This window comes from Homo sapiens, chromosome 8 (genome assembly GCF_000001405.40).
Source record: "Homo sapiens chromosome 8, GRCh38.p14 Primary Assembly".
NCBI classification, from domain to species: Eukaryota; Metazoa; Chordata; class Mammalia; order Primates; family Hominidae; genus Homo; species Homo sapiens.
In genome coordinates, this window is record NC_000008.11 from 12,561,200 (window position 1) to 12,582,471 (window position 21,272).

At 42.4% G+C, this 21,272-nt stretch overlaps 2 long non-coding RNA genes and 1 pseudogene across 2 annotated transcripts in view; 1 reads left to right on the forward strand and 2 right to left on the reverse strand.

The window, feature by feature from the left end:
• Positions 1-5,646, forward strand: part of FAM86B2-DT (FAM86B2 divergent transcript) — a 129,833-nt gene extending 124,187 nt beyond the window's left edge. The window contains exon 6 of the long non-coding RNA NR_040092.1: positions 4,687-5,646. This is a non-coding gene — a long non-coding RNA (FAM86B2 divergent transcript). The remainder of the gene's footprint in view (positions 1-4,686) is intronic.
• LOC729732 (uncharacterized) overlaps positions 1-21,272 on the reverse strand; it is a 128,533-nt gene that overhangs the window by 24,121 nt on the left and 83,140 nt on the right. The window contains exons 7-8 of the long non-coding RNA NR_047662.2: positions 20,734-20,864; positions 19,629-19,845 (exon numbers count right to left, since the gene is read on the reverse strand). This is a non-coding gene — a long non-coding RNA (uncharacterized LOC729732). The remainder of the gene's footprint in view (positions 1-19,628; positions 19,846-20,733; positions 20,865-21,272) is intronic.
• Positions 9,107-9,955, reverse strand: RPS3AP34 (RPS3A pseudogene 34; annotated as a pseudogene).

Below are 21,272 nucleotides of genomic sequence, written 5' to 3' on the forward strand. Positions count from 1 at the left end.
AAATAGACAAATGGGATTATATTAAATTAAATTCCTTCTGTATATCAATTAAAACAATCAACAGAGTGAAAAGACAACACCCCTCCCTTACACCACACACAAAAATTAACTCAAGATGGCCTGCAGACTTAAATGTAAAACTCATAACTATAAAAACGCTGAAGACAACCTAGGCAATACCATCTGGTACATAGTGATGGGCAAAGAGTTCATGGTGAAGATGCCAAACGCAATTGCCACAAAAGCAAAAATTGGCAAATGGGATCTAATTAAATGAAAGAGCTTCTACACAGCAAAAGAAACTATCAAAAAATAAACAGACATTTCTCAAAAGAAAATATACAAATCACCAAGTTTATGAAAAAATATTCAACATCACTAATCATCACGGAAATGCAAATCAAAACCACAATGAGATATCATCTCACACTTGTTAGAATGGGTATTAAAAAGACAAAGCACAACAAATGCTGGCAAGCATGTGAAGAAAAGGAAATTATTGTATATTGTTGGTGGGAATGTAAATTGGTACAGCCATTATGAAAAAAAGTACAGAGATTTCTCAAAAAACTAAGAACAAATCTACCATATGATCCAGCAATCCCACTCATGGGTATATATCCAAAAAAAGATATCAGTGTATCAACGGGATACCCATACCCCCATATTTACTGCAGCACTATTTGCAATAGCCAAGATATGGAATCAATCTAAATGTCAATCAATGGATGAATGGATAAAGAAAATGGGAATATACACACAATGGAATAGTATTTAGCCATAAAAAATGAAATCCTGTCATTTTCAGCTAATTGGGTGGAATTAAAGGTCATAACGTCAGGTGAACTAGGCCATGCACAGAAAGAAAACTATTGCATGTTCTCACTTATATGAGCAGCTTATGCTCCTGGAAATCAAAGCGGGGCCATATTTCAGGTCAGTAGGGTCACGGATAGAGACCACAGTTATGGACTTGTGTGCCCTGGAGCTATATAAAATTGATATCATGGAGATAAAGAGTAGAATGATAGTTACCAGAGGCTAGGAATAGGAGAGGTTTGAAAAGAGGTTGATTAATGGGTATAAAAATATATAATAGAAGGAATGAGATCTAGTGTTTATTATCACAGAAAGTGACTACAATAATTTATTGTATATTTCTTTTTTTTAATTTCAATAGTTTTTAGGGAACAGGTGGTATTTTGTTACATGGATACGTCCCTTAGGGGTGATCTCTGAAATTTTGGCATACCCATCAGCAAAGCAGTTTACCCAATGTATAGTCTTTTATCTCTCACCCCCTCCCACCTTCCCCCTGAGCCCCCAAAGTCCACTGTTTCATTCTTGTGCCTTCGCATCATCATAGCTTAGCTCCCATGTTCTCCCACGAGTGAGAACATGCAATGTTTGGTTTTCCATTCCTGAGTTACTTCATTTGAAATAATGGTCTCCAACTCCATCCAGGTTGTTATGAATGCCATTATTTTATTCCTTTTTAAGGTTAAGTAGTGTTCTATGGTATACATATATATATATAACACATTTTCTTTATCCACAAATTGATTGATGGGCATTTGGGCTGGTTCTGTAGTTTTGCAACTGTGAATTCTGCTGCTGTAAACATGTGTGCAAAAGTATCTTTTTCATATAATGACTTCTTTTCCTCTGGGTAGATACCTAACAGTGGGATTACTGGATCAAATGGTAGATGTACTTCTAGTTCTTTAAGGAATCTTCATACTGTTTTCCATAGTGCTGGTACTAGCTTACATTCCCACCATCAGTGTAAAAGCGTTGTCTTTCACCACATCCATGCCAACATCAATTTTTGTTTTTTTTGTTTTGTTTTGTCTTTTGTTTTTTGTTTTTTTGAGATGGAGTCTCGCTCTGTCGCCCAGGCTGGAGTACAATGGTGCCATATCAGCTCACTGCAACCTCTGCCTCCCGGGTTCAAGCAATTCTCCTGCCTCAGCCTCCTGAGTAGCTGGGATTACAGGCAACTGCCACCATGCCCGGCTAATTTTTATATTTTCAGTAGAGACTGGGTTTCACCATGTTGGTCAGGCTGGTCTCAAACTCCTGACCTCGTGATCCGCCCACCTTGGCCTCCCAAAGTGCTAGGATTACAGGCGTGAGCCACCGCGCCCGGCCCTCTTTTTGTTTATTTTACACGTGGTATTGCATTGTGGTTTTGATTTGCATTTCCCTGGTAATTAGTGATGTTGAGCATTTTTTCATATGTTTGTTGGCCATTTGTATATCTTCTTTTGAGAATTGTCTATTCATGTCCTTGGCACATTTTTTGATGAGATTATTTTTTTCTTGCTGATTAGAGTTCCCTGTAGATTCTGACATTAGTTCTTTGTCAAATGCAGTTTGTGAAAATTTTCTCCCACTCTGTGGGTGATCTGTTTACTCTGCTGATTATTTCCTATGCTGTGCAGGAGGCTTTTAGTTTAATTAAGTCCCATCTATTTATCTTTGTTTCTGTTGTATTTGCTTTTGGGTTCTTGGTCATAAACTCTTTGCCTAAGCCAATGTGTAGAAGCATTTTCCAATGTTATCTTCTAGAATTTTTATGGTTTCAGACCTTAGATTTAAGTCTTTGATCCATCTTGTGTTGATTTTTGTATAAGGTGAGAGATAAGGATCCAGTTTTATTCTTCTACATGTGGCTTGCCAATTATCCCAGCACTATTTGTTGTATAGGGTGTACTTTTCTTACTTTGTTTTTGTTTACTTTGTCAAAGATCAGTTGGCTGTTAAGCATTTGGCTTTATTTCTAGGTTCTCTACTCTGTCCCATTGGTCATGTGCCTATTTTTATACCAGCACTATGCTGTTTTGGTGACTATAGCTTTGTAATATAGTTTGAAGTTGGGTAATGTGATGCCTCTAGATTGGTTCTTTTTGCTTAGTTTTGCTTTGGCTTTGCAGACTCTTTTTTAGTTCCAAATGAATTTTGGCATTTTTTTTTTCTAGTTCTATAAAGAATGATGATGGTACATTGATAGGAACTCATTGAATTTGGAGACTGCTTTTGGCAGTATGGTCATTTTCACAATATTGAGTCTACCCATCCATGAGCATGGAATGTGTTTCCATTTGTTTGTGTCATCTATGATTTCTTTCAACATTGTTTTGTAGTTTTCCTTGTAGGGGTCTTTCACCTCCTTGGTTAGGTATATTCCTAAGTATTTTATTTTTACAGCTATTATAAAAGGGTTTGATTTGATTCTCAGCCTGGTAGATGTTGGTGTATAGCACTGCTACTGATATGTGTACATAGATTTTGTATCCTGATAAATAGATTTATTGTGTATTTCTAAATAGCAATAAGATTTGAAATATTCCCAACACAAAGAAATGATCAACGTTTGAGGTGATTAATATCCTAAAGACCCTGACTTGATCATTACACATTACATGCATGTACCAGAATCTCACATGGACCCCATAAATGTGTACAATTATTCTCTATCAAAAACATTTTTTTTTAAGAAACATGCAGGAATACACTCTACCTCTTCCTTGCTGTGTCTGGATATTGTCACATGAGGACTTGACATGCGGATTGTGGCAGCCTCTGTGACCAAGAGCGGAAGACAACAGCAGCATAGAAACCTCAAATGAAAAATCTAACATCTCAAGCTACTAATTTAGCCAACCTTGGCATCAGCTATCTCTGGTCTTAGTATATGAGGCGATAAGCCCCCACTGTTCAAGTTGGGTGTCTATCAATTGCTGCAGAATAGAAGTTAATGAGGCTTCCTCCTCCTGGATCCCCTACTAGACCCTGACATGCCCATTCAGTCACAGGCAGAAAGGGAAGCACAGGGTAAGGAGACCTGGCTGACTGTGCCAGACGCAGATCTTACCTGTCCTGCTTAGAACACTCAAAGCTCAATTGGTTAAACAAAAAAAGGAAAAATACAATAAGGAGTATAGCACTCCCCAGATGCAACTTAATCTAACACTCTATACTTTAGATTTTCTAGACATACATAGAAATCAGACCACTACTTCTGCAGAACATTTTACTAGTAAAAATAATAGGCCACGTGAGGGAAAACTGATTTGGTGGAAAGACAACAAAAACAAAATATGGGAAATAGGTAAGGTGATAATATGGGGGAGAGGTTGTGCTTGTGTTTCACCCGGAGAAAATCAGCTTCCTGTTTGGATACCCACTAGACATTTGAAGTTCTACAATGAACCTATCAAGATGCAAATGAAAGTGCCTCTGCAGAGACAGAAAACCCGCAGTCGAGCATCATCGACTCGCAGGGTGAACAAAATGGTGATATCAGAAGAACAGATGAAGTTACAATCCACCAAGGAAACGGCACATGTTGGGAGCCAGGGAGAGGAAGAGAAAGAAAAAGAGACAGAGATCAGAGAGAGACACAGAAAGTGAGACTGGGGAGAGAGACAGTGTAAAAGAGAGAGAGAGAGAGAGACCGTAAAAGAAGGGAGACAAAGAGATAAAAGGTGCGAGTGAGCAGGTGAGGAGAAAGACTGAAAACTATGAGAAACAGCAACTAAGACACAAAGGAGGTGGGAGACTGCCTTGGTGCCGCAGCACCCACACCGTCCTCTTGCCCCGTCACTTGGGTTCAAACCACCGGAAATTCCACTATTGCAAATTTTTTATTAATCCTTGTATGTCTGTCCTTTCTATTTTTAGTCTACAGGTGTATCCAGCAGCTCCAGAGAGACAGCGACCAGCGAGAAGGGGCCATGATGATGGAGGTGGTTTTGTCAAAACGAAAATGGGGATATGTAGGGAAAAGAAAGAGAGATCAGACTGTTACTGTGTCTACATAGAAAGGGAAGACATAAGAGACTCCATTTTGAAAAAGACCTGTACTTTAAACAATTGCTTTGCTGAGATGTTGTTAATCTGTAGCTTTGCCCCAGCCACTTTGCCCCAACCACTTTGACCCAATCTGGAGCTCATAAAAACATGTGTTGTATGAAATCAAGGTTTAAGGCATGTAGGGCTGTGCAGGACGTGCCTTGTTAACCAAATGTTTGCAAGCAGTATACTTGGTAAAAGTCATCACCATTCTCTCATCTCAATAAACCAGGGGCACAATGCACTGTGGAAAGCCGCAGGGACCTCTGCCCTTGAAAGCTGGGTATTGTCCAAAGTTCCTCCCCATGTGATAGTCTGAAATATGGCCTCGTGGGATGAGAAAGACCTGACGGTCCCCCAGCGCGACACCCATAAAAGATCTGTGCTGAGGTGGATTAGTCAAAGAGGAAAGACTTGCAGTTGAGATAGAGGAAGGCCACTGTCTCCTGACTGCCCCTGGGAACTGAATGTCTCGGTATAAAACACGATTGTACATTTGTTCAGTTCTGAGATGGGAGAAAAACCGCCCTATGGTGGGAGGCGAGACATGTTTACAGCAATGCTGCCTTGTTATCCTTTACTCCACTGAGATGTCTGGGTGGAGAGAAACATAAATCTGGCTTACATGCACGTCCAGTCATAGTACCTTCCCTTGAACTTCATTATGACATGGATTCTATTGCTCACGTTTGTTGCTGACCTTCTCCTTATTATCACCCTGCCCTCCTACTACATTCCTTTTTGCTGAAATAATGAAGATAATAATCAATAAAAACTGAGGGAATTCAGAGACCTGTGCCAGTGCAGGTCCTTAGCATGCTAAGCGCCGGTCCCCTGGGCCCGCTGTTGTTTCTCTATACTTTGTCTCTGTGTCTGATTTCTTTTCTGTCTCTCATCCCACCCGACAAGAAATACCCACAGGTGTGGAGGGGCAGGCCACCCCTTCAGTATGAGATTACAGGCATGAATAACCCCACCTGGCCACCTAACTCACTCTTGAGAGGCCAGAAGTGATGCTGGAACTTTCTTCCTCTGTGGGTGAAAAAGGGAAAATTAGGGAGAACAGAAGGCATGAGAGATGCAGCGATGGATATGTCTATATGGAGCTTCTGTCTGCATCCAGTAGAAAATGCATCTGTAGGCACCAGGTTTAAGAGCAAAATCCTGGAGTCTTGTCTGTTAGCATTCTCCTTCCCCACAAACCAGAGAAGGAATATATTTGCTCCAGCACACCCGGATGTAGGAAATGTCACATTCCTATTTCTGTAACTTCACTTAAATCTGCTCTGAGTCTCTGGATGCCTGGCAGGTGGAGAATTCAATCTTGTCGTTACCAGTATTCCTTTCCCTTCTCCATGGGCTTATGTAAGAATTCTGGGCTTACACACTGTTGGAAAGCCAGGTAGGAACTACATCCCCCGAACTCTCCATTCTTCCAGCTGCTCATGATCCATCAACCTTCTTTGGGCCACCTGCTATAACAAGACCCTCCTCACAGCATCATTCCACTGACCCACAGGCTCAGCCCCAGGGACCCTCACTAGAACAGGTCTCCACTATGCATAGGAACTCACAAAAACCTTCTCTTCATCTTGGCTTCTGCTGATATCCAGCCACTCCCCCAATTCTCACCTTAAACACAGATGGCAGCTCCTTCCCATTCTTCCAAACCTGGGGGATTGTCCAGACAAATTCTCTGCAGACACCAAAGCTTCACCCGCCCTCTTCAGGGAGGTGATGCAAGGGCATCTGAGATCTTTGGAAGCCCAATTCTGGCCTCTCTTTGGGGTGGGCTGAGAGTGGGAAGTAGACTCTCTTTTCCAAATGTCATGTTTATCTTGTTCATCATTATATTATCTCCAATGCCTGGCACATAGTAGGCACTACAGACTGACACATAGGAGGTGCTATTAGTGTCTGTATAATGGGACTCTTGAGGTTGAAGCTATCAGCAGAAACCTGCCAAGCAAAAGGATGGAAAACCAACCACCAAAAAAAAAAAAACAAAAAGAAAACAATCGTGGCTTTGAGCTCTAAACACACAAGGCACCAGCCCAAGTTTGGGCAATTTTACTACAACAGCCATTTTGCCTCCAAACAAACTGGCACTGGAAACCTCCCTCTGCCTCTTAAAGAGAACCAGTTTCCCTTTCTCTAAGTGGACAGCATTTCTCCCCGGTGGCAGTACCCAGCCCACTGCCACCAGCAAACGACTGCAGCCAGGAGCCAAGAGCTTGATAGTTTAAAGAATAGATCTTATAGGGAAAAACAAAGTAACATCCACATAAATCTGGAACTACCACCACTTTCCAGAGGCCGAATCCCATTTGTAAATTCTCTTGCGTGTCAAGCACCTTGCAGTCAGCTCAACTACACACTTTTGGGATTCGTTGCAGAGAAGAGTGAAGGTTATCTGCAAAATAAAGGAACCAGGGCTCAGAATTCCCAGAGCAATCCATGACAGAGGAGGTGAGTTGAAAAGGGAAGGGTGAAGTCAAAGGAGAGAAGTCAATGAGTTGGCCAACACCAAGCAAGGATCATGGGACCCTCTCCACGGCCCCACATCTCAAATGAAGTCAACAAAACCCATCAATGCTTGGTGTAAGTGTTGTATGCTCCTGGAAATGAAAGCAGGGGCCACATTTCAGGTCAGTAGGGTCAGGGGTAGAGGCAGCTGTCATGGACTTGTGGGCCCTGGAGGATGGGATGATTCTGAGACATTGAATCCCTACACTGATCTCAGTAGAAATCTCAGGTAGGGCTTCAACATTCGTCGACAAAGGACTCTGTGGGCATCAGAGCAACAGCCTTGGTGCATGTCCAAGCTCCATCAATCCCAACTGGGGCTTTGAAGAAGTTACTTATTTTTTTTAACTAACGTTATTTTAATTGACAAATCATAATTGTACCCATGTATGTGATGTTTTGATATATGTATACAATGTGGGATGATTAGATCAAACTAATGAACACGTCCATCCCCTAATTTACTGACAATTTTCATGATGCGACATTTGAAATGTACCCACTTAGTTATTTTGAAAGATACATTATTATTGACTATAGTCACGCTGCTGTGCTATAGATTTCAAAACATATAATCCAGCAACCCAACTTCTGGATATAGACCAAAAAAAAATCAAAATCAATATGTCGAAGGGATCCCTAAATTCCTATGTTCACTGCAGCTCTATTCACAATACCCAAGATATAGAATCAACCTAAGTGTCCATGAGTGGATGAAAGGATAAAGCAAATGTACTATATACACACAAAGGAATACTATTAACCCTTAAAAAAGAAAGAAATCCTGTCATTTTCAACAACATAGATGAACTTGAAAGACATTGTGTTAAGTGAAATAAGCCAGGCACAGAAAGACAGATACTGCATGATTTTATTGTATGTGGAATCTAAAGAAGTTGAACTCACAGAAATAGAGAGTAGGACAGTGGTTATCAGGGGCTGGGGTGAAGGAAAGGGAGGGGATAGGAGACACTGGTCAAAGGGTACAAAGTTTCCAATAGGAAGAATAGTTTTAAACAAGCTAATCTCCTCTGAAAGCTCAGTTCCTCATCTGTAGAGCACGGATACATCATTAACCTTCTAAGGATGTTGCTGTGAGAGTAAGAGATGATGTTCAGCACAATACCTAACGCACAGTCAGGTCTCCTTAAGCTTGAACCTGCATCGCCATGACCTCTACATCTCAGGACAGAAAGGCTCACAGCCAGTGTCTCAGTTCCCAATGAAAAGTGGATCCCAGACCAGGCTGGACAGCAGGATCCCTAGGGGATACCCCACCCTACTGAGTCAGAATCACCAGAGGTAGAACCTGGGTATGTATGTATGTGTGTGTGTGTGTGTGTGTGTGTGTGTGTGTGTATGTACAAGAGACAGGGTCCTGCTCTGCAGTCCAGGCTGGAGTGCACTGTCACAATCGTAGTTCACTGCAGCTTCAAATTACCCCTGGTCTCAATCCATCCTCCCGTCTCAGCCTTCAGAGTAGCTGAGACTACAGGCGCATGCCACCAAGCCCGGATACTTTTTTTTTTTTTCTTCCTTTTGGAGAGAGTCTCACTCTGTTGCCCAGGCTGGAGTGCAATGGTGCAATCTTGGCTCACTGCAACCTCTGTCTCCCGGGTTCAAGTGATTCTCATGCCTCAGCCTCCTGAGTAGCTAGGATTACAGGCATACACCACCACATCAGCGTAATTTTGCTCTTTCATTGTTGTTTCTTGTTTGTTTTTCACAAATAGGACTTTTTATTTGGTACTGTTTTAAGTCTGAACTTTAAACAGATTCTTGGACTGGTGGTTCCTATCCATCAGCTCATTCAACTTTAGCATGTGTCTCGTCCCTAGTGGGTTTTCCAGAACTACTACCTCCACCACGAAGCTCCATGCCTTTCAAACCCAGGGTTCTCCAGCATTTTTACTTTTCTAATGAAGACATCATGGAGAGGATAAATTGGCAAACCTTTTCTGTATCTTTTCCAATGTTGTCTGGAATCAATTTATTGACCACTTCTTTCAAGTCATTTGTCTGCACCTCTCAGGTCATGATTTCCATCATCTTCTTCTGGATTTGGCAGACTGTTGGTGCTAAGCATAAGAGGTCTTCAGTATCTGATTGTTGTGTTTTTTAGTAAAACCAACACAAAACAGATGAAAGAAGTAACCATCGGTAGTCCTGACATCAACATGAGCTTCAACCATCGTTGAACATTTTTCAACCATGGAACATATTTTGTCACAGGTAAGACCCATGCCATAGAAATTAGTCAGGCAGTTTTTGTCCTGAACATCTTCAGTAATCAGCTTGAATTTTCTAAATGCAACTTCATCATTCTGCAAATCAGCAAGACTCACTTCAAACAGAAGACCCTTGAGACCATCAGATGCAATTTGGGTTCCTTGGGTCCTGGCGACCAAGTCTTTCCAGTATTTCTTATATTGAACATAGCAGGTGCTTTCACATCATACTGATCTTTCTTAGAGAATGGACCAACTACTTTCTTCTTAACTCCCTTTTTGCCACCTTTCATAAGGCACTTGTTCTTAACAACCGCCATGGTGCTGCTTGGAGTACCAAAAGGCTAAATTTTATATTTTTGGTAGAGACGGGATTTCAGGATGTTGGCCAAGCTGCTCTTGAACTCCTGATGTCAGGTGATCTGCCCGCCTCTGCCTCCCAAAGTGCTGGGATTACAAGTGTGGACCACTGCACCCAGCTGTTATTTATTTTTTCTTTTTTTGTACAGACAGGGTCTTGCCATGTTGCCAAGGCTGGCCTGGAACTCCTGGCTTCAAGCAATCCTCCCACCACAGCCTCCCAAAGCACTGGGATTTCAGGTGTGAGCCACCATGCCCAGCCTGGAATCTATTTTTAAAGCCAATCAAGCGTTGAATAAAATTGCAACTTGGGCTGTTTTTTCTTTGCATTTTTTACATTTCAATGGTTTTCAATATATTCAGAGATATACACAAACATTACCAGTCAATTTTAGAACATTTCATGACCTCAAAAAGAAACCTCATACCCTTTAGCTAACAGCCCCATCCTCCCATGCCCCTACCACCCCTAAGCAACCACTAATCGACTTCCTATTTCTGTAGATTTCCATCTGAATGAAATCATGTAGAATGTGATCTTTCATCTGTTTTGAAGGTTCATCCACGCTGTAGCGTATGTACTATCCTCCTTTTTGTGATCAAATAATATTCCACCATGTGGGTAGACAACAATAGGTGTATCTCTTCATCTGGTGATGGGCATTTGGATTAATTCTCTCTTTGGGTTATTAGGAGTGATGCTACTGTAATTATTCATGTACAAAATTTTGTGTGGACCTGTGCTTTCATTTTTGAATATGAAAATACTGCGCATCTCCAAGGAAGACATACAAGTGGTCAATAAGCACATGAAAAGATGCTCAATGAAATTCATCATCAGGGAAACAGAAATCAAAACCACAATTAGATACCACTTCATACCCATAAGCATGGCTAGAATCGAAGATAGAGAAAATTGGCCTGGTGCGGTGGCTCATGCCTGTAATCCCAGCACTTTGGGAGACCGAGGCAGGTGGATCACCTGAGGCCAAGAGTGTGAGACCAGCCTGGCCAACATGGTGAAACCCTGTCTGTACTAAAAAAATACAAAAATTAGCCAGGCATGGTGGCAGGTTCCTATAATCCCAGCTACTCGGGAGGCTGAGGCAGGAGAGTAACTTGAATCTGGAGGCAGAGGTTGCAGTGAGCTGAGATTGTGCCACTGCACTCCAGCCTGGGCGACAGAGCAAGACTTTGTCTCAAAAAAAAAAAAAAAAAAAAAAAAAAAAAACCAGAAAATAACAAGTTTTGGTGAGGATGCAGAGAAACTAGAACCTTCATACACAGCTGGTAGGAATTAAAATGGTGTAGCCACTGTGAGAAACAGTTTAACAACTTCCCAAACAATTCTACATAGAGTTACCAAATGACCTAGCAATTGTACTCCTAGATATAGGCCCAACTTGGGCTCTTTCAATCTATGGAAAATGAACTGTGGGTACTTGGCAAGAACAAAGACGGAGAGAGGCAGAAATGCTGCCATGAGAGCACATTGATTGGTCTCTAGTACACATGGTTTCTACTGCAAATGGTCTCTAAATGACTTCATCAGTTGCTCAGAAAAAAAATCACCCTCTGCTCCAATCGTGGAGGAAGAAGTATGGATTGGACCTGGTGAGCCACGGTAAGACTGACTGCTAAACTTTATGAATGATGAGGGGATTTGCACGTATAATCTTAACTGTACATCAAATGTTAATTTTTTATTTTATCCACTGTCTTTGAAAACCTAACTCTTGACTAAGAACTGACTTTCCTGTACTTGTTGTTGACTCTAAGTAAATTTCCAATTCCACATAGTCCAAAGATGATGTGCTGAGAAATCTCTCAAAGGAAAAATGCTAAGAATACAGGCAGAGTTATGAGGCAAATTTTGCAGAATTAACACAAATTGCACTTGTGGGTATGAAGCACAAAACATTTTCATGGGTAAAGAAAAAAGTATTCTTCATTCTAGTAGACGCTGCAGGATGAGGCCGATCAAGGTGTCTGCCCAGCCAGACCTTGGGCTCTTACCTAGTTTGTGTTAGAGTCAACTCTGAGGGAGTCTGTATTTCAGTCATCTTTTTTTTTGACATGGAATCTTGCTCTGTCTCCCAGGCTGGAATGCAGCGGTGTGATCTCAGCTCACTGAAACATCTGCCTCCTGGGTTCAAGCGATTCTCCTGTCTCAGCTTCCCAAGTATATGGGACTACATGTGCATGCCACCATGCCTGGCTAATTTTTGTATTTTTAGTAAAGACGTTTCATCATGTTGGCCAGGCTGTGCTCAAACTCCTGCCCTCAAGTGATGCGCCTGCTTTGGCCTCCCAAAGTGCTGGGATTACAGGCATGAGCCACCATGTCCGATCTCAGTCATCTTTTTATCCTCCACACCTGGCAAGTTCTAGACACACTGTGGTTCCATACAAGTTTGTTGAATAAACAGGAGACAGAAAGTGGGAATTCTGGAAGTAGAGAAGATTCCAGAAATTGTGCATATTTCCCAGAGACTGTGGCCCAATTCCTCAGTCCTGCCAGAGTTTCTCTATCTCAACTCAAACCTTATGTATGGGCCCAGGTGCAGTGGCTCACACCTGTAATCCCAACACTTTAGGAGGCTGAGGTGCGCAGATCACTTGAGGCCAGGAGTTTGAGACCAGCCTGGCCAACATGGTGAAACCCCGTCTCTACTAAAAATACAAAAATTACCCAGGCATGGTGTTCTGCACCTGTAGTCTCAGCTACTCAGGTGGCTGAGGCACAAGCATTGCTTGAACCCAGGAGGCGGAGGTTGCAGTGAGTCACGATTATGCCACTGTACTCTAGCCTAGGCAATAAAGCAAGACTGTCACAAAAGAAAAAAAAAAAACCCTTAAGTGTGGGCCTTGTTACAGAATTAATGTTTATATGGACAATATGTACATGGGTGTATGTTAAGAGCATGAGCCATCCACAAGATTTTAGCAAAGTCCATTTGGAAAGCTCAATGCTTTGGGCTTCCACTTGCTTTGCTGCCTCTGTCCTCAGAAGGAGGCTTCATCCTTCCATGTAATCAGCAAATCCTTTATGCAGAGATGTACACAACACACTCCTCTCCTTGGCTATGACACCTTGAAAGGGTCCTCTTGGTGGCCCCTGGTGCTCATTTCAGAGTAGTTCAAATTAAGGTGATCAGCTTTCATGCCAATCACTCTACAAATTACTCCTATTATGACCAATTTTTCTAAATGCTTTATTGAATTATTACTTAAAGAAATGTGCACATAGAAGAGGTCAACACAGTACTTTTCTTACAAACTGAACATACTGGCCAGAAGCAGTGGCTCATGCCTGCCATCCCAGCACTTTGGGAGGCCGAGGTGAGCAGATTGTTTGAGCCCAGGAGCTTGAGACCAGCCTGGGCAGCATAGTGAGACACTCCTCTCTACAAAAAATAAATAAATAAAAAATTAGGCAACAGTGGTGGCACCTGCCTGTAGTCCCAGCTACTAGGGAGGGCTGAGGTGGGAGGACTGCTGGAGCCCAGGAGGCAGAGGCTGCAGTGAGCCATGACGGTGTCACTGTGCTCCAGCCTAGGTGACAGAGCAAGATCCTGCCTCAAAATCAACAACAACAACAAAAAAAACTGAACATCTCCATATTACTGACACCCAATTCAAGAAACAAAATATTACAGCCCCTTCCAGGATATTCCTGGGGTCTCTTCCATCTCTACTAACCCCTGACTACAAACAGCCTCCACCTATTTCACCTGACATTGTACTTTATGAAAGCAGCAGTTCTCAGATGGGGCTATTTTGCCCCCTGGGGACATTAGGGAATATCTGGAGACACTGAGGGTTGTGTCTACTTGGGGGGAGTTGTGTTACTGCATCCAGTGAGTCCAGGGATCCAGGGATGCCGCTCAACATCCTGAAATGCACAGGGAACCCCCACACATAGAACAGAGAAATTGCTGAGCCAAAATGTCAGCAGTGTCACAGCTGACACCCTGATATACACACTATCACACAGTATCTGCTCTTTCGGGCTCAGGATCTTTTTCATTCTAATCATCTCATAGGAAACAGAAATGTCATTTAGAGGTAGGTAGAGTCCAAAACAAAGAAGAACCTGAGTTTTTTTTTTTTTTTAATCAGCCTGGTGCCTTTAGAGCTAGGATTTAGTTTCTATTCTTTCTGTCTCATTTTCAAGTGATTTTTTCTTCAAATGGCATCTACTGGGCTCAAGAACTGGAGATCCCCACAAAGCTGAGATTCACATGGGAATTTTGTACACACCCACACAGGTATACACTTCCATTTACATGCAGACATCCACCCACAGATACACACATCCGGAGACCAAGACAGAACGCAAACTGCCCCATAAAAGCACGGTTCCCCAAACAGGAGAAACACACCATTCACTCCAGGGAGGTATCTATTTGTTTAATTCAGCCTCTGATAGTCAGGCTGTTGCCAAGCCCAGCTCTGAAACTCTTCCCCTCTAGGAAAGAAAGATGGATTTTTTCTTTACTCAAGAATATAGATCTAAAAAAAAAAAAACACTTCTGCATCTCAAAGCAGGCTCTACCTCCTGAGCTACACGTATTGATCAGCTTTTTATTGTCAATTTTCTTTTAATTGAATTGGAGAAAAATATAAATTATGTTCTTGCTGACAGTTTGGAATCAGTTACACTAAATCCAATTCTCTGGGTTCTCATGATTAAGGTGTTTAATTTGGGGGACAACAAAGCAAAAGCATTGGTCGTGTTTTAATATAATTAGTACAGGATATATCTAAGGGGTTCAAGTATCACTGTAGCAAGAAGCTCATTCTGCAGTAAAAGGGGGATTCTGCCACTAGGATTGAGTGAGGGTGGTTCATGGCTGCACCGTTTCATCAATGTCTCTTCAAGAGTCCATGGAATGTGGAATGGGAAAGACTGAAATAGTGCAAGTCTTGGCTAAGCTTCTATTAAGGGGTGTTAGGAGCTGATAAAATAACCTGGTCTTTATAGACATCCCACACTGTAGTTCTCTAAGCTACAGATTCTCAGATTTTTCTATTTTATGAACGAGTAAAAATATTTTTTTAATTTGAGAACCAACATAAGGTTGCTATCTTTTTTTTCTTTTGGGTAAGAAGGAACTTTTTTAAACTACCAGTTACACACACACACACACACACACACACACACACACACACACACACACACACAGAAATTCCACCACGATTGGTCAGAATAGGTGAGGTTTTGCTGCAATAACAAACAACTCCCAAATCTTGGTAACTTCAAACATCAGAAGTTGTTTTTCTCACTCATGCTTCATCTGCAGGGAGGTGTGGGGTGCTCTGTTTCCCATCAAACTTGCCCTAAGACTAAGGTTAATGGGGGTTGCAATACCTCGAGTATCACCAAGCAGGGAACAGAGGGAGAAGAATGTTAGAGAGTCTTGTACTAAGAATTAAATGCTCCAGGCTAGAAGTCTAACATTGCACCTCTGCCCCCAGCCTCTTGGCCAGTACTAGCCACATCCCCTCCCCCACCACAGGGCAATACATGAAGACAGGAGAATTGGATACATTACAAATTTCTACCCCATGGCATTTCATAAAAGAGAAAAAAATGCCAACACAAAAATGTTTTAATAGAATAGAATATATACATTTTTAGAATAAAGAACAATCCTCCAAAAAGGACAGCTGGTGGTCTCTCAACAATGGGCACATTTCTGTGACATTTTCTCTGTTTTTCCATTTTATCCTTGACCTATGAACATTTTATACAGATGGTCCAAAGAACACCATTTGGGGACCACTGCTGTAATCAGGTGATGAAAACGGCCCCAAGAACAGAGCACAGTCTCTTTAGCAAAGACCCAGCAGGGCCAGGGTGACCATGTTCTCACCATCAATGTGCAGACATCCACCTGCAGCATCCTCACATCCCAACATCAAACAGTGGCTCTTTATAGCTTGATTCTAATGCCCTTTGATCTTCATAATCATTGTAAAGCTCTCTGGCCCCAAGATCTAACATCGCCACTCTAGCTACATCCTGCAACTGTTCACCTCTCCTGCCTCCTCATCCCTCTAAACTTCTCTTCACAACCTCATGTTTCCTTCTTGCTTTACCTTCCTGCTCAGCCTGGACCTTACAGTCACCTTCTTCTTGTAATGTGCTCCTAAACTCTTTCTTCCCTTCCTTCAACCACACCCACCTGGAAAATCTCCATACCCCATTGACGACTTGCCTCGCAACTGCCCAAGGGCTGCTGAATGATACTGGAAAGAATCACAACAGGGATCTGGTAGTTCCACTAAATAATCTCACCATCCAACTCTAGGGCAGACTTCACTTCTGTTCAGCAATATTTTTAAGCATCACAAATAAATTCCAAACCATATTTGCTATAACAATTGACTGTAAACCTCTTCCATATCTCAAAGCCCCCCAAACCCAGCCCTAGGGGTTTCAGAGCCCAGAGTTGAGTTCTCTCAACTCACTTCCATCTCACCCCTAGATCACTGTATCTTGATCCTCTTCCTCTGCCTTTCCCATGTTATAAGGAGAAGCATCCTTCTCCTTTCCCAAGCTACCTTCTCCACTTGTGCCTCATTTGAGACCTGCCTTTATCACCCGTTCCCTTGGAACTCCCATGACTCACCACCTTCACTTGTCATTTCACTCATAAATATTTTGCACCGTGTATGTGCCAGGCGATTAACATATAATCATGCTTAAGTCTCCACATGCTAACAAGAAAAACCTTGATTATCCCTGCTATGCCCTCAAGTCATTACCCTCCCCGCTCCTTTCCTGTGTTCCCAAACTTTGTTGATCTTCATCAATCCCTCTGATGCAGATGGCTCCGAAGTTTGCATCCTATTAGGTTGGTGCAAAAGTAATTGCGGATTTTGCCATTAAAAGTAATGGCAAAAACAGCAATTATTTTTGTAGCAGCCTAGTATCTTTTCTCCTTCTACCAAACTTTGTCCCTGAGACATCTCATCACCTATAACTACCTCCTCCATGCAGTTGATTCCCAGATCTGTATTATTCTACTGAAAGTCCATTCCCCAATTTTCTCGGCTAGAATAACAGAAACCCAATTAGAATTCATGCTACCAGTTTCCCACCACCACCACCACCGTCGTCCTGCCATTGTTAGCAAAACCATCTCTTGAGTGGAGCTCAAAGATTTGTAATTTCCCAATCCCCAGAAAGATAACTTCAGACTCAGCTTAGAAGTAAAGATCCTCCAGATATGGCCTCAACTACCCTCCAACCCATGTCCCCAGTGCATCCCGTTGATGCCCCCTTCAGTGGAGTTAAAATGGAGTGAGTGTTTTTCTTTTCACATACTCCTGGTGTTCTTCCACAAATACAATTTTCACCTCTTGAATATTTTCAAGGATTCTCCATGCTACACACAGAGAAATCCAAACTCCCCATCAGGACCCCAGTCTTCCCAAACCCTCTTTGCACTTTTCTGCCTCCATGCTTTTCCTTGGGTCATCCTCTTCTCTAATATAACCTTGTGTATTATTCTAGGTTCTCCAGAGAAAGAGCAGAGAGATAGAGGTAGAGATATACACATAGAGAGAGACAGATTGATTTGTTGTAAGGGATGGCTCACCTGGTTATGGAAGCTAAGGAGTCCTGGAGTCTGCAGCCAGCAAGCTGGAGACCCAGGACAGCCAATGATATAGTTCCAACTCGAGTCCACATGTAAAGTCAGGAGAAGATTGATGTCCCAGCTCAAATATAATCAGGTAAAAAGAGCAAATTCTCTGTGATTCTACCTTTTTGTTTTGTTCAGGCCTTCAATGGATTGGATGAGGCTCACCCACATTGGGGAGGACAATCTGCTTTATTCACTCTACCAATTAAATGTTATCCTCATCCAGAATACCTCAGAGACACACCCAGAATAATGTGTAGCCAAATATCTGGGCACCCCACAACCCAGTCAAATTGATACATAACACTAACCATCATGTCTTGCTTCTACTCTCTCGCCATTTCTGCATGGCCAAATCTTTCCCTTATTTCAAGGCTTAGTTCAAATGTTACCTCTTAACTAAGCCTTCCCTGCTAACCCCAAATATTAATAGAATTGGTTTCTCCCTTCTCTGATGTCTCAAAATATATTGTGTTTCTCTTTTATTGTATTTATTACAAACTCCCTTACAAATCAAGACAGTGATTCCCAGACAAATTATCACAAGAGTATAAAAGAAGTCTTCTTTGAGTGTGAAATATCTCATGGAATATAGCACATGGCCTCTTCATGAAGAAACTACTGGGAGAGAAGAAGATAAGCTGGAAGAGGCCAGGGAAAGGGGGTTAGTACAAAGCACAATGGGGCTGGGCTCATACAGTGGCTCACACCTGTAATCCCAGCACTTTGGGAGCCCAAGGCCGGTGGATCAAGAGATCAGCAGATCGAGACCATCCTGGCTAACACGGTGAAACCCCGTCTCTACTAAAAATACAAAAAAGTTAGCCAGGCATGGAGGTGGGCGCCTGTAGTCCCAGCTACTCGGGAGGCTGAGGAAGGAGAATGGTGTGAACCCGGGAGGCAGAGCTTGCAGTGAGCCGAGATTGCACCACAGCACTCAAGCCTGGGTGACAGAGCAAGACTCCATCTCAAAAAATAAAACAAAATAAAATAAAGCACAATGAAATGTCAGTGGATGGGTGCCTATAATTTCTAAGGGAAATAGAGTATAATCCAAGAATTTTATAGCCAGCTAAATTATTGCCCAATCAAAATAGGCAAAAGACACATGCTGAAGAACTTAAAGAATACAGTATTTCTGAGCTCTTTAAAAAAAAGTCTTCATAATAAAATTTAGTCAGCCAAGAAATTAAAAAATAAGCAACTTGTGAATTGAATGACCATGACAAAAGGCTAGTGATAGGACTATGATTGCAGAACAGAAAGAGAAGGTGGTCAACCTTAACAACATAAAACAACCTAGAAATAACTAGTTTCCAGAGGTAAAGAGAGGGACTGTAGGAAGTAGAAATGTTAATGCCCTTTATTAAGTCAATTAATCAGGTCTAAAATTGAAACGTGATTTTAAATATATAACTTCTTGTTTATTTTCCTCCCTAACTACCTGAGGATCAACCACCAACATGAATGACACAGTGACTACCTGGACCAGGAAGTTTATGACCAATCGACCGTTCCAGAGGAAACAAATGGTCACCAATGTCCTTCACCCCGGAAAGGCAACAAAATGTACAAGACCACAATGGATGTCATCTTCATATTAATAGTTGGACTCAGAACCCATTTTGGTGGTGGTTAAACAATCGTCACCCACATTGGAGTGCAGTGGTACGATCTCAGCTCACCAAATCTCTGCCTCCCAGGCTTAAGCAATTCTCCTGCCTCAGCCTCCCCCGCAGCTAGGATTACAGGCACGCACCACTACTGCCTGGCTAATTTTTATGTTTTTAGTAGAGATGGGGTTTCACCTTGTTGGCCAGGCTGGTCTTGAACTCCTGACCTCAAATGATCCACCCGCCTTGGCCTCCCAAAGTGCTAAGATTACAGGCATGGGTCACTGTGCCCAGCCTTTTCTGTATTAAATTTTTAAAAACACAACATTTAAAATAATCAAGTCATTCTTTTTGAATCTACTTTGTATTATAGGTATCCAAATACTCACCTATTCTCTCTCACATGATGACAAACTCGTTGAAATGTCATTTCATTTTGTGGCTCCAGCCCCAGGGATTCTGAGTCTGATTCTAAAGGGCCTGCATGCAGAGCAAGCAAGCCGCCTGGATGATTCTCTTACAGGTGTTTTAAGGGCATCAGTTTGAGACACCCTGATGCAAAAGAACGAACCCTCAAGGAAGTTGGCTGTACATGTATTTTCCTTCCTAGCACAGGAAAAGACAGAAAGATTATCCAATCAGTACCACTCATAGCACCTGATTATATATGTATGAGGAATTCAGAAATGGTTTGATCAAGGTTGAAGACCTAAAAAGTAGCTTTTCTCTCGGACACCAAGTCCCCATCTCATGCGTGGTTGAGTTAGTAGAATCTGAGGATGATGCTTCTTCCTCCAGGATTGGTATCCTATGGTTTTTGTTGTTCAGTAAATGAAGTACCTCCATCCCCCAACATCCCCATGCTCAATTCCAGTTTCCTCACATACACTTTTTTTTTTTATTTTTTTTTGAGACAGAGTCTCGCTCTGTCACCCAGGCTGGAATACTGTGCAGTGGTGCAACCTCAGCTCACTGCAACTTCCACCTCCCAGGTTCAAGTGATTCTCCTGCCTCGGGCTTCTGAGTAGCTGGCATTACAGGCATGCACCATCACGCCTGGCTAATTTTTGTATTTTTAGTAGAGATGAGGTTTCATCATGTCGTCCAGGCTTGTCTCAAACTCTTGGCCTCAAGTGATCCACCTACCTCAGCCTCCCAAGTGCTAAGATTACAGGTGTGAGCCACCATGCCCAGCCCCCTCACTTACACTTTTACAGAAGATCTGATCATACCCACTCCGCAGAAGTCAGAATGGCCCCCACATGGTGTTAAACGGGAGTGAAAACTTGAGTTCAATCAACTGAGGGTGACACAGAAACATTTCCCCCAAAACGCTTTTGGCAGCTCTGCTGATCCATAACCTGGCTCCATTTCAGGGCAAGACCTCCACTTAAGCTGCACTGGCTTCCACTAGAGTAAATCACATTAACTCATGGCAAACACAACTGAAGGGCAAAAAGATTCTTTTTAAAAGGATTTTAGTCTCTCACTTACCAACACACCCTGGCCTCCCTAGAGCCGGACTCCATTCAGCACCTGTTCCACTGAGCACCCACTGAAAGCTCAGCTCATGAGCTGAGATGACCCAGACATCAAGGAGTTTACAATCCAGGGGAAGAACAGACCTGAATACAAGTGATGACAATACAAGACGGAGTCAAAGAGCCCAACTTGAAGTATCAGCAGAATAGCACCAAAGACTAGTTCCCAACCCAGCTCCCAGCGCCAGAGCCAGAGCCAGGCTGGCTGCATGAGATCAGCTGGGAGCTTTTGCAAACCTAGGTCCTAGCTAAGCCCCTAATCATCAGACTGGCAGTCACTGGGAGTGAGCTCCAGGAACTCTTTTATTTAATAAGCACCCACACACACATGATTCTGATGTTCCTAAGGGTTGTAGAAACATGGAACTATAGAAAACACTTAAAAAAAAAAGGCACTAAAAGAAACCTATAAATATTCACTACAATCCCAGGCATCATGAGGACACTCCACGTGCACTATTTACAATACTTAGAATATCCTGCAAGGGAAGC